Here is a 15,750-nt window from a genome sequence, read left to right as displayed (position 1 = left end):
TGTCCCTGTCTAGGGGACTGGGGAAATATCCCATAGCAGTGTTCTCACAGTATGGGGCTGGCCATGAATACCCCAGGAGTCCAACCTCCCTTTGTCCAGCTAGACCATGGTGTCCTATGCCTCAGGCAGGGAATGTGGTCCAGTCATCAGTGGCTGGGCCGTCTGCCATACATGGTGCAAGCCATGGCGTTTTATGCAGAAAGTCCTGCTAGCATTTGATTTTCTCAGAATGGAGCTGTGAGCATGGCAGGCAACCACTGTTTCCTGGATTCTTCACCAAGACACCCCAAGTTCCTGGTCTCTCCCCGTTATCCTCATCCCTGACCCTGTGGTTCTCAGAGCCTCCAAACACACTCAGGCTAAGCACTCCATAGACAGGGGAAATTTGGAAGGAACATCTAGGGAGCTCAGAAAAGCCAATGTCCCTAGCCCCAGGCCCACTTCAACCTTCTCTCTGTCAGTCCTGCCTGCCCCTGGAGGCTGGTTACATGAAGAGTAACCCCCTGCTTGTGTATAGCCCCCCAGTTTTGTACAGGTTTAGAGACAGTTCCCAGCAGTAGGAACAGCTGCCGAGGTGGGAGAGGGCTTCTCCCGATAGCCGGGGGACTTCCTCTCCCAGGAACAACAGGGTGGGGTAGAGCAGGCTTGTCGTTGCTGAGATAGAGAGAGGGAAGGGAAACAACAAGGAAAGTGGGGGCACTGGGTCCCCAAGGTTCCTGGCACAGCAAGCAGTGAAGTTGGGGCAGCCTCAGGTCATGTAGTGGGGGCAGGTGACATCTGCTTTGACTGCTCCTAAGAGATATGTACTCATCTCCTGGATTCCAAACTGCAGCCTGGGACATGTTTTCTTATATAAACAGCATCAAAAGATGTGTGAGTTCCCAGGCTAGCCCACTGAACCCTACCTAGTGGGTGCTCATTGTCCCCCAGAGCCCCCAGAAGACAAGCCGTGGCTTTGTGATGGGCCTGGGGCCAGGAGGACCTAGGGATATGTTGTGAAGAGCTGAGAAGACTCTGGAAAAAAGGGGCTCTGGAGCCAAGCAGGAGCCCGCCCAGGACTCCTCACGTGTCCAAGTCACCTAGGGAGAGAAACAGAGCAGCCCAGGTTGGTCCCTGGAAGAGAGCAGCGGAGGAGGGGAAAGGGGAGAGCCCCTGGGGAGAGCTTTGAAAGTCAAGTGCTGTTTGCTCAGTGTGTTTGCCTTTCCGAGGATGTGTTTTTTTTTCCCTCCGTTAGTCAGCAGTGGGAGGGGGAGAGAGACGGGTGGTAGGGTGCAGGGTACCTCCTGGCTGCAGGCATATGCTTTGAGTGCGTGTTCATTTACCTCCTCTGGACTTCCTGCCTTCTGTTACCAGGGATCAAGACACAGGTCATTAGGCGTGAGGTAATGGGGCATCTCTTGTTCTGACCCCTGGCGCCAGTCTTGGAGTCCTGACGCTGCAGAGGAGCCCCAGAGTCACATTTCCTGTTGGGGCCCATCCTGCTCATATGCGGCACCATCAGACTTCTGGGCAGGCAAGATTACCTGTGACTCTGTCTGATGGTCTCGCCATCAATATCACTGAGAGTAGCTGTGTATGGAGTCCCGAACTGGTACAGGATAAAACAGGGGGCTGAAAAGGGAATGAATGGGCACAGTTTCTCTGGCATCAAAAGTCACATCCAGAATTGATATTTCCTGTTGAGTAAAAATAGAAATATAAGTTGCTCAGTGGATGTTGAGTGAGCCCTATTCATGTGCCCCACTCTGTGCCAAGCACCAGGAAGGAGGGAAGGGAAAAATGATAAGATGTTCTCCCCGTTCTCCAGGAGTTTATGCTCCACTAAGAAGTCAGAGCTAACATGCACAGAACAGTGTGGCAGCGAGAGCAGAACCGTGTGGCCAGCTCCATGCTTGCCGCCTAGCAAGCGTGATTGCACTTCATCCTCATAACAACTTGGTGAGGTGTGTTGCTCTGTTGTCCCATTTTACAGCAGAGAGGACTGACTCTCAGTGAATTGAAATGTCTCAGTGAGGTCTTCCACAGCAAAAGGCGAAGCACAGAGAAGGAAGTCCATGTGGGCTGGGAGTTCACCCAGAGATTCATGTAGGGGCAATGTGGGCTGTACCTTGCAAGATGGTGGGATTTCAATGAGGAGAAGACAAAGTGGGAGGAAGCTGGAGACAAGGACTGTGGTCTCTTCCTTTAGAAGTCAGTTCAATCTTTTTTTCCTTGTGGAAGCAGCATAACTCTAGGTGGTTCCTCTGTATCTGAGGACAAGCTTTGTAGAGGTGACAAAGGGGTCCTAGGTCCTATCAGGCAAGCACTCGATATGCTGCCAGTTCATTCTGTCCATTGTGAGATACCCATTCCAGAGCGCTTCCTCTGTGCCAGGCTCTACGGAGGTTCTGGATGTTAAAGAGGAAGCAGGCATGGCCCTGGCCCTCCCAGTCTTGTGGGAGATTGATCATGCCCATGAATAGTGACCATGTGGTCAGAGCCACAGGGTCAATTCCAAATGCCCCTGTTTCTCTTTTGTGTTACTCACCTGACTCTGGGTCTTTCGTTTCTTCCATTCATTTTTTTTAAACAAATATTTCCTGCCCACCTTCTGTGTGCCAGGCCTGGGGATGCAGTGGGAGAAGCCTCTGTCCTCCTCAGTGGAGGCGCTAACTCAGAACAGGCAGTGGAGAAAAACAACATGACCTGGAGACCTGGTGCCCCTTCCTTCCCCAGCATCTTTGAAATTCTTTTGGTTGTTGTTGTTTTGAGATGGAGTCTCACTCTGTTGTCAGGCTGGAGTGCAGTGGCGCGATCTCAACTCACTGCAACCTCTGCCTCCCAGGTTCAAGTAATTCTCCCTGCCTCAGCCTCCCAAGTAGCTGGGATTACAGGTGCTCTCTACCATGCCCAGTAATATTTTTTGTATTTTTAGTAGAGACAGGGTTTCGCCATGTTGGCCAGCCTGGTCTCAAACTCCTGACCTCAGGTGATCCACCTGCCTTGGCCTCCCAAAATGCTGGGATTACAAGCATGAGCCACTGTGCCTGGCCTGAAATTCTTCAATATCTACCTGCCCTTCTGCCAGTTGGTGCAGCCACAGTGGGCTGCTTATGCATATCCTGGCCTGGCTTGGTGGGGAGCATGGCTGAGGGAGAGCCGGGGCACCCATCAATTAAGGAGGTAAAGATCAGTCTGACTGAGATGCCTCCTGCCACACTTCCTCAGCTGCCAGCAACTGACACCATTAACCTGATTTCCTTCCCCCTCTGTTGACTGCACTGACTATTGGACTGAATGGGAAACAGCCCCGTGCACCTCAAAATGCACTTCCCCTCCTGCAGATGCATCTTGCAATTAGGCCCAAACTGTGAGCCTGCATGCTCCTCCCCTGGCCCTGCACAGGCAACAAAGCTGAAGTTAATCAGAGGTACAAATGGCTGGCTATGCCTCTCTGACACGTAACTTCTGGAACATGTATCAATGCTTTGGAAATGAAAAGCTCCTGGTATTGCAATGCCAGGCTGGTGCCCATAAGGGCCAGAAAACATTCCTTGGGCAAAGCCAGGGGGAGTGGGTGATCTGATCCCAGCTCAGGTTTGTTGATTTGTTGTTTTGTTTGTTTCGTTTTGTATGGGGCAAGGGTTGAGGGTATGAAAAACTTACACTATCATTTACTACCGTAGTCCCCAGAACCCAGCACACCAGCACAAGGCCTGGAACAGGGATACCTTTTTTGAATGAATAAGTCTTTTTTTTTTTTTTTTTTTTTTTTTTTGAGACAGAGTTTCACTCTTGTTGCCCAGGCTGGAGTGCAGTGGCGCGATCTCGGCTCACTGCAACCTCCGCCTCCTGGGTTCAAGCGATTCTCCTGCCTCAGCCTCTCGAGTAGCTAGGATTACAGGTATGCGCCACCACGCCTGGCTAATATTTTGGTATTTTTAGTAGAGATGGGGTTTCACCATGTTGGCCAGGCTGGTCTCAAACTCCTGACCTCAGGTGATCCACCCACCTTGGCCTCCCAGAGTGCTGGGATTACAGGCGTGAGCCACTGTGCCCAGCCTTGAATGGATAAGTCTTAAGGGATATTTTTGGAAAGGATATTCTAAAAAATACCCATGTCTCTACACTATTGCAGAAGGGCTTTCAGTTTTGATGGCAGCCTTTCAGGCCAGCCTACACGCAACTAAACTTTTCCATAACAGCATCACACTTACACAAGAAGAAGGTTTTATAATCCACTTGCCATTATTTAACATAGTTCTTCCTCCTTAACTTTCAAGATCTGAGCACTATAATGTTCTTCTTTTTGTTTTTGTTTTTTTCTAAATCAAATTAAGGTGAGTCACCTCACCTTGGGCCTGAGTTGGACAGAAATCTATTCTTGGCTATATTCCCCACCCCTCCACCACCTTGGAACCTTATAGAACTTTATGTGGTTCAGGAAAATGAGGGCGAGGCCTCAGATCTTCAACCCATGACAGCTGTATGCCCAGCTCCCTGCCTTCCTGTCTTACCCCCAGCTAGGGCACAGGACTGACTATTGTGCCCAGAGAGGTGCCAGAGCCTGTAACAACCCCAGACTTCCCAGGTCCAGCCACATCCACCCCAGAGCCCCAAAAGATGATCTTCAGAGAGACCTTTAAAACACAAGTAGCTGGTCACTTCCATCCAGACCAGAACCCAAGATGGCTGTGCTCTTGCTGAGACATGTTGGTTGTCATTGCCTCCGAGCCCACTTTAGCCCTCAGCTCTGTACCAGAAATGCTGTTCCTTTGGGAATCACAGCCAAAGAAGAGATGGAGCAGTTCTGGAATAAGAACACAAGTTCAAACTGTCCCATATCTCCCCACATCACTATCTACAGTTGGTCTCTTCCCATGGCGATGTCCATCTGCCACCGTGGCACTGGTATTGCTTTGAGTGCAGGGGTCTCTCTTTTTGGCATGTTGGCCCTGTTACTCCCTGGGAACTTTGAGTCTTATTTGGAATGCGTGAAGTCCCTGTGTCCGGGGCCAGCACTGATCCACACAGCTAAGTTTGCACTCATCTTCCCTCTCATGTATCATATCTGGAATGGGGTCTGACACTTGATGTGGGACCTAGGAAAAGGCCTGAAGATTCCCCAGCTATACCAATCTGGAGTGGTTGTCCCGGTTCTTACTGTACTGTCCTCTGTAGGGCTGGCAGCCATGTGAAGAACAGAGGTTCCCAGCATCATCTTCCTACACATTATTACATTCACCCATCTTTCTGTTTCTCACTTTTATCTCCAGCCTGGGAAAAGTTCTCCTTATTTGTTTAAATCCTTTTGTGCTTTTAGATCCCCTTGGAGCAGTAGAGTACCTTGTAGACCATAAGAGTGGAAAAGGGTCTAGTTTTCTCCTTGTTTCTAAAGATGGGGTGGCTGAAAAAACTCCCCTTTTTTGCCTACAGCTTGCCTCTCTGGGCCTAGAAGTGGTTATTCTGTCTCCATATTGGCCTTTGATTTGTGCTGAGGGTCAGCTTTTGGCTCCTTCTTCCTGAGACAGTGGAAACAATGCCAGCTGTGTGGCTTCTGCCCTGGGGGCTGGGGGTGAGGCTTTGGGTGCCACTGCCTGTGGGTTGCTGGCTTAAAGGACAATTCTGTTCATTGGTGAGAGCCCAGGCCATTAACACCTACGCAGTGTTATTGAAAGAAGAGAGGCGGGGGTGGAGGGGAATTAGTCTATCCCAGCTAGAGGGAGATAAAGAGGGCTAGTTAGTTCTTGGAGCAGCTGCTTTGAGGAGAAAATGTATAGCTTTTGACACAACAGGAAGATCCAGAAAATTATCATTGAACATATTAAAGGTTATTTCTTTTTCTTGCAAAACACACACACACACACACACACACACACACACACGCGAACACACGCAGCTGATGATTCTACTCTCCCAGCCCCAGCCCTGAAGGGGACCCAGAACTCCCTGCACAAAGGCTGTCCTTCAAGGGGAGGGTGAAAGAAGTGGAAAATCACATTTTCATTCTTTAGCGTCTCCATACAACAGCCAGAACTGGGCAGAAGCTAATTATATCAGAAGCATACTCCATGTTGCTGCATCAGCTTTGGGATGTTCATTTTTAAATTTATTTATAGCTTGTCTCATTCCTCAAAGGAGTTCAGGGAGCTACAAAAATAAAGACAATAAAATTGAAAAAAATTAAATTAAAAAAACCATGACCAGGGAAAATGTGCAGTAGAATGAAGTGTCAATTATCACGTTTTCTGACTGCAAAATCTCCCCCACGGCTGATGCACCATCATTTACTACAACAGCCCCTCTTGTTGGACATTTCCAGTTTATTTCGTTTGGGATGGTTTGTTGCTGTTGCTGTGGTTGTGGTTTTGTTTTATTGAATTTTGTGTTAGCTGCAGCTAATACCATCTTGCTGATGGCTTTGCGCTGCTCTTGAATGATTACTCAGGATAAATTTCCTGGAGACGGATTATAGGATCAGAAGGTCTGAACTTCTGTGTGGCTCTAGCTACAAAGCACCAGATTGCTTTCCAAGAGCGTTGTAGCAATTTATAATCCAACACTCAGCCTATTTTTTGGCTGGGAGTCAAGCCCCAGAATGTGAAGGAGGGGTCTTGGCCTGGAGCAGGGGCTGAGGGATGGGTGCACAGGACCCCTCCTTATTGGTTATTTATGGGGATGGGCCAGGAGGAGCAGAATAGAGGCCCCTGCCCTCCCAGTTGCTCCTTGGAGTGACTGACCCCATAGGGGAGGGGCGAGGCTACCTCACATTTAGAACTATGTAGTTGGTGATGGTCAAGGTCCTAGGTCTGATGGGCATCCTCCTCCCTCTCCTCCTCAGCCAGTAATGGCTGCACTATGTCGTATGTCCTAGATCTGGGTCCCTTTTGCTGTGGGAACACCAATAATACTTACGCTGTTTCCTGCCGGAAACGGTGCAGGAGGGCTGTGGCATGGTAGTGGGCCCTGGAAACCATCTAGCCTTCATGAGGAAGGGCAGTTAAAGCACAGGCATGTATGATGTTGGTATTGATTAAAAGCCTCACGGGCAGAGAAATTCGCCATCTGCCAGGGCCCCAGCCATACGAGGGCTCCAGCCATACATCCTCCAGGAGACTGGGACCTCTCCAATTGCAGGAGCCTTGCCTTCCCCATCAGATTAGGAATTCCCCGAGGATGGGGACAATGTCCTTCCCACCTGCTTGAGAACTCCTAAGGGGCATGTACTCTGTCTCCCCATTGTATCTGGAACTTCCTGGGAGCATAGCTCCTGTCTCCGTCCTCAGACTGGGAATCCCCTAAGGGCAGAGGCCATGTCCTTCCACCCACTTGGGATTCCCTGAAGTTGGGGACCACATCTCTGATGTACAATGCTTTGTATGTACTGACTGCTGCAGGATTCTTGGAGTAAATGGGCAGTCAACTTCTTGGACTGGTATTGACCATCTGGACTTCATCAGAGTGTCCAAGACTTTGCCATTCATTAGACAGGGGCCATGTGCACAGGCAGAGCCCTGGCCTCTGGCTTCTGGCTCCTGACTCCTGGTCCCTCTGCTTTAATTTGGCTAATGGCAGAACCAGACTCCTTTCTGGGCTGCCCTGGAAGGGGATCCTTGAATGAAAGAGGATAGATGGGAAGGTGGCAGCTGACATGGTTACCTCTTATGCCATGGGGGGGCTGCTCTCTCTGGAAATTTAGGCCTGGGGTCAGGGCACTGTTGAGCATTTTACACCCTAGGCCAGAGGAGGGGTGACCTGTGGAGCAGGGCTAAGCTAGTAGCCCATGAGGTATGATGTGTAGGCAGCACCTGGGGCTCACAGAGCCTGTTACCCATGTTATCTCCTCTGACCTTGGAAAGAGCTGGGGTGTATGAACAAGTATTTATAAGTTTACAAAAATCATATGAGGAAACTGAGGCACGGGGAAGGTAAATGACATGCCCTAGGTTACACAGCTTATAAGTAGCAGGGATTCTGCCCTTCTGTCACACCAAGTCCCACTGTCTTTTCTTCCTGGAGTCCCTGTGACTGATCTAAAGGCCACATGTTTAACAGAATAAGGAGGAGGCCTCTGTTGCAGCAAACCAGCTACCCCACCCGCACACAGACTCTAAGGGACATCCTGCTTTAAGCTGTCCTTAGTTACTAATACCTCAGTGAGAATGAGTTTGAAATTTTCTCAAGAGCCATGGGAGACTAGGAAGTCTCTAAGCTTCATAGAGAGCCTGGCTTGGGGGGACACAGGAGCCAAAGGCAGAGGAAGAAGTGGCAGCTTTGTGCCCCCAGAAACACGTGCTCCTGACCTCACAGTTGGCCACAGCCAGCCAACTCTCCCATCCTTCTCCCACCACTTTCCCGTGGGGCTAACTTCACCCTGTCCACACGGAGTGACTTAACAGTTTAAGCCCCAGAGTCGGGGGCCGGGGTACCTGGGACAAGAGTCCTGAGGGAAATGGGGTGAGGAACTGGAAGTGCCACAGGGCTAGAGTTCTGCCCCTAGCCTACTGGAGCTGTGCCCCACAGGCTGGCCCCACTGGACTGCGCTGCCTCCAAGCCATCCTGGGCATCTCCATGTGTAGCTGTCACGCTCCTCCCACTAAACGCCTCCCTGTGCTTCCTCTGCAGTTTTCATGAACACGGCCATCCCCATTGCAGCTGTCCTCATAGTAAGTGGATCCTTTCTCCATCTCTTGGGGGTAGGGTGGAGGGGGAGGGCGTCTGCAGTGACAGGCTGCCCAGATTTGGCCTTTCTGCACAGGGGCCTCAGAAGACAGGCTCCACAGCCAGACTGAAAATAGGATCGAAAGTTTATAGAGGGTGTGGCCCCTCCCCAACTCCAGCCGAACAGGGGCCTCTGCCTCCAGGCCTGGAAGACCGGAGGCTTAGTATTTAGAGAAATTAAACTTTCTTTTAAAAAATAGCTATCCAAATTTTTAATTTTTAAAGTGAAACATGTGTATTGTAGAAGTGATGGGAAATCCAGAACAGAAAGCTCAAAGAGAATTAAAATCACCCATAATCCCACTGGTAACATTTTTAATGTGTTTCTTTCCAGTCTTTTTTTAAGGCCTATGATATGTCATTTTCTACAAAAATAGGAATGTGCTATGCATGCAGTTTTGCAACCTGCTCTTTTAAATTTAGGAATATGCCACACACAATTCTCCATGCCACTGAATATTATGATGGTGGCTTTCTAAAGCAATTTTGATAAAAGCTGTGTGTGAGCTGAGCCATGGGGGTCAAGCAGCATGCTCCTACAGAAAGGCCTGGGCCCCTACGAGCCTGCAGCCCCCTCACCCAGCCTCCCATCCCCATCTTCTGTGATGGCTGCAGTTCCTTAAAAAGATCTGCTTATTTCCCCCGGGGCCAGTGTCCCTGAGCTGTGTAGAGTTCACAGCCTGTCGGATACACTTGGGAATTCACTTCCAATGTGATGTATTGAGCTGGTTCCTGGCCTGGCTCCTGGGGGAACTGTGGGTAACAGAGGCCACTGAGCCAGCCAGGTGGCTGGGGCAAAGCACTGTGCAGTTTCGTAATCACTCTGTTTACGTTATCCCGATGAGGACTGGGGAGATGAGCACCCCGCCTGCTGTCTGCAGAGGGGGCCGTGCTGACCTAACCCGAGATCTCCTCCCTGCTTATTCCCAGCCAAGACTGGGCAGGACAGGGAGTCTTGGCCAGGACAGGGAGGGAGCAGCCCCTGCTCTCCAGCTTGAAGTCCTGAACTTGTTGGGGACGTTTCCATGAGATGACTGTGGGGATGATGAAGGTGTCTCCAACTAAAAGATCCTCTTAGGAGCCTGCTCCCTGACAGCCCTCTCATTTCCCTTCCAGTGCTGAGCGTTTCCAGTGTGGGAGGGACCCACACCCTGGGCCACCCTGGCCTCACTTGTGCCTCTGTCCACAGACTTTCGTGGGCCACGTCAGCTTCTTCAAAGAGGCCGACTTCTCGCCCTCCGTGGCCTTTGCCTCCCTCTCCCTCTTCCATATCTTGGTCACACCGCTGTTCCTGCTGTCCAGTGTGGTCCGATCTACCGTCAAAGCTCTAGTGAGGTGAGGGGAGGGTCCGGGCGAGGGCACTGGGCAGGCAGGTCCTGTGTCAGCCTCAAGGCTTGCTCGAGTGATGGCCAAACCACAGCTGTTTGGTCCCGGAACACACCCCCATTGCTGGGCCTTGCTGTAGCTGGTCCTGGTTGGTCAGAGGGACATTGGCCTGTATGGTTTCCCAGCTCGCCATCCCTGAGCAAGGACTTGCTTACATACCTCCCAGGAGAGGGGACTCACTGTCACTTTCACGACAACTTAAAAAAAAAAAAAAACCAGTGTTGAGCCAAATGTGGAATCCTCCTAAATTCTACCCACTGGTCCTAACTTCACCCTCCAGAGCCACCAAGAATGAGGCCATCCCGTCCCCACGTGGCTGCCCCATGGATATCAGAAGGCATCCACTGTGTCTATCTTTCCCAGGCCAAGTATCCCCTACCCTTTCCACAGCCCCTGAGCCCTCACAGCCTCAGCCAGTGAAACAGCTTCCCCCAAGCGCTGGGTCCTGCTCTGATTGGCCCACAGCTCTTGGAGGCTCCCACTTCCAGGCTCTAGAGCCTCATGGGGACTCTGCCACTGTCCCAGAGGCATTGCCCTCTTGGGAATGAAAGCCTGAAGGTAGAAGGCTGAGGCTTTGGCTGGGAAATGCCCTGTCTGGAGTGAGAAGATGTCCTTGGGCCTCTGAAGTAGCTCTGCCTCCTTGAAAGCAAGAGCCTGTCATGCCTCTATGGAGGGCTGGCTTGTCCTTACCCATGGCCAGAGAACCAGTCAGTAACAAATGTCCTCTGTGTCTTCAGCCTTGAGGAAGGTGACACCCCTGTCTCATGGGACCCTGGCAGGTACTGGGAAGCTGGAAGGAAGGAGTAGCTGTTGGAATGAAGTAGCTGATAGAGAGGGTAGCTTGCAGGGGGAGACTCTAGCATGGGTTCAAAGATGGAATGGGGCATAACTCAGCAAAATTATGCTCTAAGGAGTATCTGACCAGGCAGTAGCTGGTTAAACAGGGATTAGCTCCCATTTCCACAGTCGGCTGTGCTGACTCAGTTTCTTGACCAGGGTGTTGTGGGGTCTGAAGATCACCCCTCCTCCCACCACCCACTCTCCAGCCCTATGATTCTGTGTAGAAACCACAGATTTAAGAACGCTGCACCTGCCTGAAAACTGTTGCACTGATCCCAAAGCGTTCATATTTTCAAACACTCTGGATCCCACTGTTTCCAGGAATGGAACACCAGAGTAGCAGAGGCCTTTTCAGTGAGGCAGCTCAGGCTCTGGCTGAAGGTGGGCGCAGGACACTACCTGAAGCTTCACCCCAAGAGATGAGGGCCAGCTCCACTCTTCCCAGTCACCGCCTGTGGGGGAGGGAGGCTGGACAGGGCATGAAGGCAGAGCCTGGTGGTCTGCCCCTCCCATCTAGGGGTGGCGCACAGAAAGGGAGACTCCAGGCCACAGCTCACTTACACCCCAGAATAACCTTGCCTTGAGGGTGGGATGGCTTGTCTGCCCCAGGCCTGTTGGACATTTAGCAAAAGAGAAGAAAGGGGAATACAAACAATCCTGAGCTTCCCAGAAAGCTTTCACACCTCCAGGATGGGAGAGAATGAACTAGAAGAGTGAAGCTTCCAGTGCTTCCTCAGGTCCACAGGGAAATCTGGACAGGGGAGAGGGTAGGAATAGCCGCCTCCCCCGTGAGTAATGACACCTCCTCCAGCAGGCTGTTATGGGGATCCGATTACATAATGCTACAAAACAGTTAACACAGTGTCTGGCATTTAGTGTATGCTCACAAAATACTAGCTATTGATTCTTTACCAATCCTAGTCCTAACTAACCTTAACCCTGACCAATCCAACACCAACCATCCTTCAGTCTAATAACCCAGACTAACTAACTTCAACATTAACCCTAAAACTAACCAATCTCACCTCCAATCCAGACCCCAGCCTATTCCAGCTGACTGGTCAACCCTAGCAAACCCTGGTAACACCAATTACCTGCCCCCATGCCCACTGGTCTGCCCCCTTCAGTGTGGGCTTTGTGGGACTATACTTCAGGCCTGAGATCCTGCTCAGAGCTCTCTATCAGGCTGCGCCCTCTCCCCTCCCCTCTGCCCCTGGCAGGGGTGAGGGGTGTCTCTGTGCTTCCCGAGCAGCGTGCAAAAGCTAAGCGAGTTCCTGTCCAGTGCAGAGATCCGTGAGGAGCAGTGTGCCCCCCATGAGCCCACACCTCAGGGCCCAGCCAGCAAGTACCAGGCGGTGGTGAGTGCCCGGCCTCCCCTTGCTACTCCCAGCATGGTCCTCTAAGGCCCAAAACTTGGGCCTGCTGTGTCGGACTTCTGCCTTTTTTCCCAGGAAGAGGGGCTCCCTTCCCTACACAGCTCCCAGCCCAGTGGGTCCTCACCTCCAAACCACCCCCAGCCCCTCAGGGTTGTGAACCGCAAGCGTCCAGCCCGGGAGGATTGTCGGGGCCTCACCGGCCCACTGCAGAGCCTGGTCCCCAGTGCAGATGGCGATGCTGACAACTGCTGTGTCCAGGTGAGTCCTGCTGCCCCATGCCTGGCCACCCAGCACCAACTCCCAGAGGGAGCTCAGCACCTGGAAAGCCAGAAAGCTGCATGCTTAGTCCTCTGCAGAGGTCACCCTGCCTGCCTGTACGGTCCATAGGAGTCCAGAAACCAGGGACCACCAAGTGGGGGGACCCCCAGCCTTAGGCAAGGGTCAGCATGAGAAGGCCAGTCTCCCACTCCCCTGCTCTGGAAGTGATCCAGGGGCTGGAATCAGTGTCTTTTGGCTTTCATGGAGGAGGGGAAGCCAGAGACTATTCACTGGGAACTGGCTGCCTTTCTGTTCTCTCCTGGGCGGTGGGACACGCCTAATGAAGATCATGGGAGGCTACTTCACGTGGACCCCAGATGGAATCCCCACACTGTCCAACATCACCATTCGTATCCCCCGAGGTATGGCCCAGTCCACCCCTCCAGCATGCCCCTCCCCATGTCCCACTGAATAACATAGAGATAAAAAGACAAAGCTGCATTTATTGAGCACCTACTCTCTGCTCATTCTTGGTGTATGCCCTGGGTATATTATAGAAGGGGAAGGCTACATTCTAGAGGCTTCCGTGTGCTGGGTGGGAGTGAAGCACTAAGGACAGGGTAAAATTGCCAGCCTTAATGTCAAACCATCCATTGCAGACAGTATAGGTAATGCACAAAAAGATCAGAAGTGGGTAGCCAAGGAACGCAAGTGGAAGTGATGGGGTTTCTGAGAATGGACAAAGGCCCTGAGGCCATGAGGCAGGAGGATTTTCTGGCAGAGGCAGCCATGAGCAAAGTATGGAGGTGGGTTGGAGGTGGGACCCAGGATGGTGTTTCTTGGGACCACAAGGAGCCTGGGCTCATACTAGGAGCATGGGAAAGGAGAAGCGAGTGCTTAGGAAGGGTGGCGGGGCAGGAAATCAGAGAGGGGGAAGGACCTGGGGAGCCAGAGGAGGATGTTGATTTCCAGAAGGAAAGGATTAAAGAGGGAGAGGACTTGCTGGGGATTCTAGGTAGGAAGAAAGAAAACAGGGGCCCCAGGGTTGGGTGCATCTGTCTGTCTGTCTTTCTGGGTAATGGTTGTTCAGACTCCCCCGGCCCCACTCACATCTGCCACCCTCCCTCCCTGCAGGCCAGCTGACTATGATCGTGGGGCAGGTGGGCTGCGGCAAGTCCTCGCTCCTTCTAGCCGCACTGGGGGAGATGCAGAAGGTCTCAGGGGCTGTCTTCTGGAGCAGGTAATACATGTATCCTCAGGGCCCAGTGGAGGGGAAATCTCCTTTTAACCATCCTCCTCAGTTGAGGATGCACACACATTTATTGGAGGGCCCACTCTGTGTTCAGTGAGGACTCAATAAATGCTGCTAATGGATATTCTCATCATCATCACTAGTACGTATTCACCTCTTACTATGCGCAGGTTCTTTGCTAAGTCCTTTGCATGCATTATTTCATTTAATTTTTATGATAACTAACAAGGTCCATACTGTTCTCAATTCTCATTTATAGAGGAAGGTTAAACTATTTGTCCTAATTCACACAGCTAATAAGTGGCAGAGCTGGAATTGAAACTCAGTTCTGTCAGACTCTGAATCCCATGGTTACTCAGATGCACGGCAGTAATTTCCCAGTGTGGGAAATTGCAACACCAACATTGGTTTCCAGCTTGGTCCTGAGCTGCACTGACCTACACACCATAAGTGGGTGTTCTGAAGATCCAGATGTAACCAATAAATGTTGGTTTCTGGGCAAAGATCACTGTCTTAATTAAAGAGCCAGAACCCCAGGCTCAGTCAATCACGAATCTGTTATTTATACCCACCTACTTCCAAGAAGCACTTGAAACTAGTTGATGAAAGATTCATGTAAAAATCAAAACCACAATGAGATACCATCTCACACCCGTTAGAATGGTGATCGTTAAAAAGTCAGGAAACAACAAATGCTGGAGAGGATGTGGAGAAATAGGAACGCTTTTACACTGTTGGTGGGAGTGTAAATTAGTTCAACCATTGTGGAAGACAGTGCGGTGATTCCTCAAGGATCTAGAACCAGAAATACCATTTGACCCAGCAATTCCATTACTGGGTATATACCCAAAGGATTATAAATCATTCTACTATAAAGACACATGCAGACGTATGTTTATTGCAGCACTATTCACAATAGCAAAGACTTGGAAACAACCCAAATGCCCATCAATGATAGACTGGATAAAGAAAATGTGGCACATATACACCATGGAATACTATGCAGACATAAAAAAGGTTGAGTTCGTGTCCTTTGCAGGGACATGGATGAAGCTGGAAACTATCATTCTCAGCAAACTCACACAGGAACAGAAAAGCAAATACCACATGTTCTCACTCATAAGTGGGAGTTGAACAATGAGAACACATGGACACAGGGAGGGGAACATCACACACTGGGGCCTGTCTGGGGGTGGGGGGCAAGGGGAGGGATAGCATTAGGAGAAATACTTAATGTAGATGAAGGGTTGATGGGTGCAGCAAACCACCATGGCATGTGTATACCTATGTAACAAACCTGCACGTTCTGCACGTATATCCCAGAACTTGAAGTATAATAAAAAAAGATGCATGTAAAATAAAACCCTTTAAAAAGGTAAGAAAATAGGAACTGAGAAATGAAGAGGGTAAAAAGATGTTCAGCAACCTGGGCAGAGGACAACTACAGCCATCAACATAAAACCTGGCTCTGTGCCCTCTGGTAGCCAAGGGAAAAAGGGATCTCTGGGCTTTGGAGTATTCATTTAGGAATAAAAGTTGCAGCCAATCAGCAGAAGGGCAAGCTTTCCCTACCAATCATTTCTAGGGGAAAATTATTGAAGGTGTCAGGTTTTTCATAAGCATGAGTACAGAACTGAGCAGGGAGAAAGACTTTGGGCCCAATGTCTGAATATCAACATGCACCCCCGTTTCCTGCATTTCCAAGATGTCCCTGAATGGTGTATCCAAAAGATGGCAAATTTCCCTCCTCAGTGGGGTCGTGGGCTAGCAGATGAGCCCCTTGGGTTTCCCATCACCTCCCATCAGGGACTGTGATGTCTTTGGGGGCAGAGGGGTCTTTGCCTCCATTCGCCATTTTATTTGGGAGATTTTTCAACATAGCCTGACTGGGAAGGCCCAGGTATTCGGTTTGAGATCATATTGCCTTATTCCGACTGC

At 50.6% G+C, this 15,750-nt stretch overlaps 1 protein-coding gene and 1 pseudogene across 6 annotated transcripts in view; both read left to right on the top strand.

The window, feature by feature from the left end:
- The window catches only part of ABCC8 (ATP binding cassette subfamily C member 8), an 84,348-nt gene that overhangs the window by 35,997 nt on the left and 32,601 nt on the right, over positions 1-15,750 (top strand). For 5 of the 6 annotated variants that reach the window (NR_147094.2, NM_001351297.2, NM_001351296.2 and 2 more), the window contains exons 11-16: positions 8,605-8,645; positions 9,890-10,035; positions 12,179-12,284; positions 12,444-12,560; positions 12,907-12,982; positions 13,695-13,800. Coding sequence is in view for 5 of the 6 variants with exons in the window: in NM_001351297.2 (NP_001338226.1) it covers positions 8,605-8,645; positions 9,890-10,035; positions 12,179-12,284; positions 12,444-12,560; positions 12,907-12,982; positions 13,695-13,800 (592 nt within the window). In the remaining variant the exon portion in view is untranslated. Of the gene's footprint in view, positions 1-8,604; positions 8,646-9,889; positions 10,036-12,178; positions 12,285-12,377; positions 12,561-12,906; positions 12,983-13,694; positions 13,801-15,750 lie in introns of all 6 variants that reach the window. The other variant, NM_001351295.2, reaches the window with a different exon arrangement.
- Positions 4,643-5,826, top strand: SDHCP4 (SDHC pseudogene 4; annotated as a pseudogene).

The sequence above is a fragment of the Homo sapiens genome, chromosome 11 (assembly GCF_000001405.40).
Source record: "Homo sapiens chromosome 11, GRCh38.p14 Primary Assembly".
Lineage (NCBI taxonomy): Eukaryota > Metazoa > Chordata > Mammalia > Primates > Hominidae > Homo > Homo sapiens.
The sequence above is the reverse complement of the archived record's forward strand: the minus strand, read 5'-3'. Positions and strand labels throughout refer to the sequence as shown.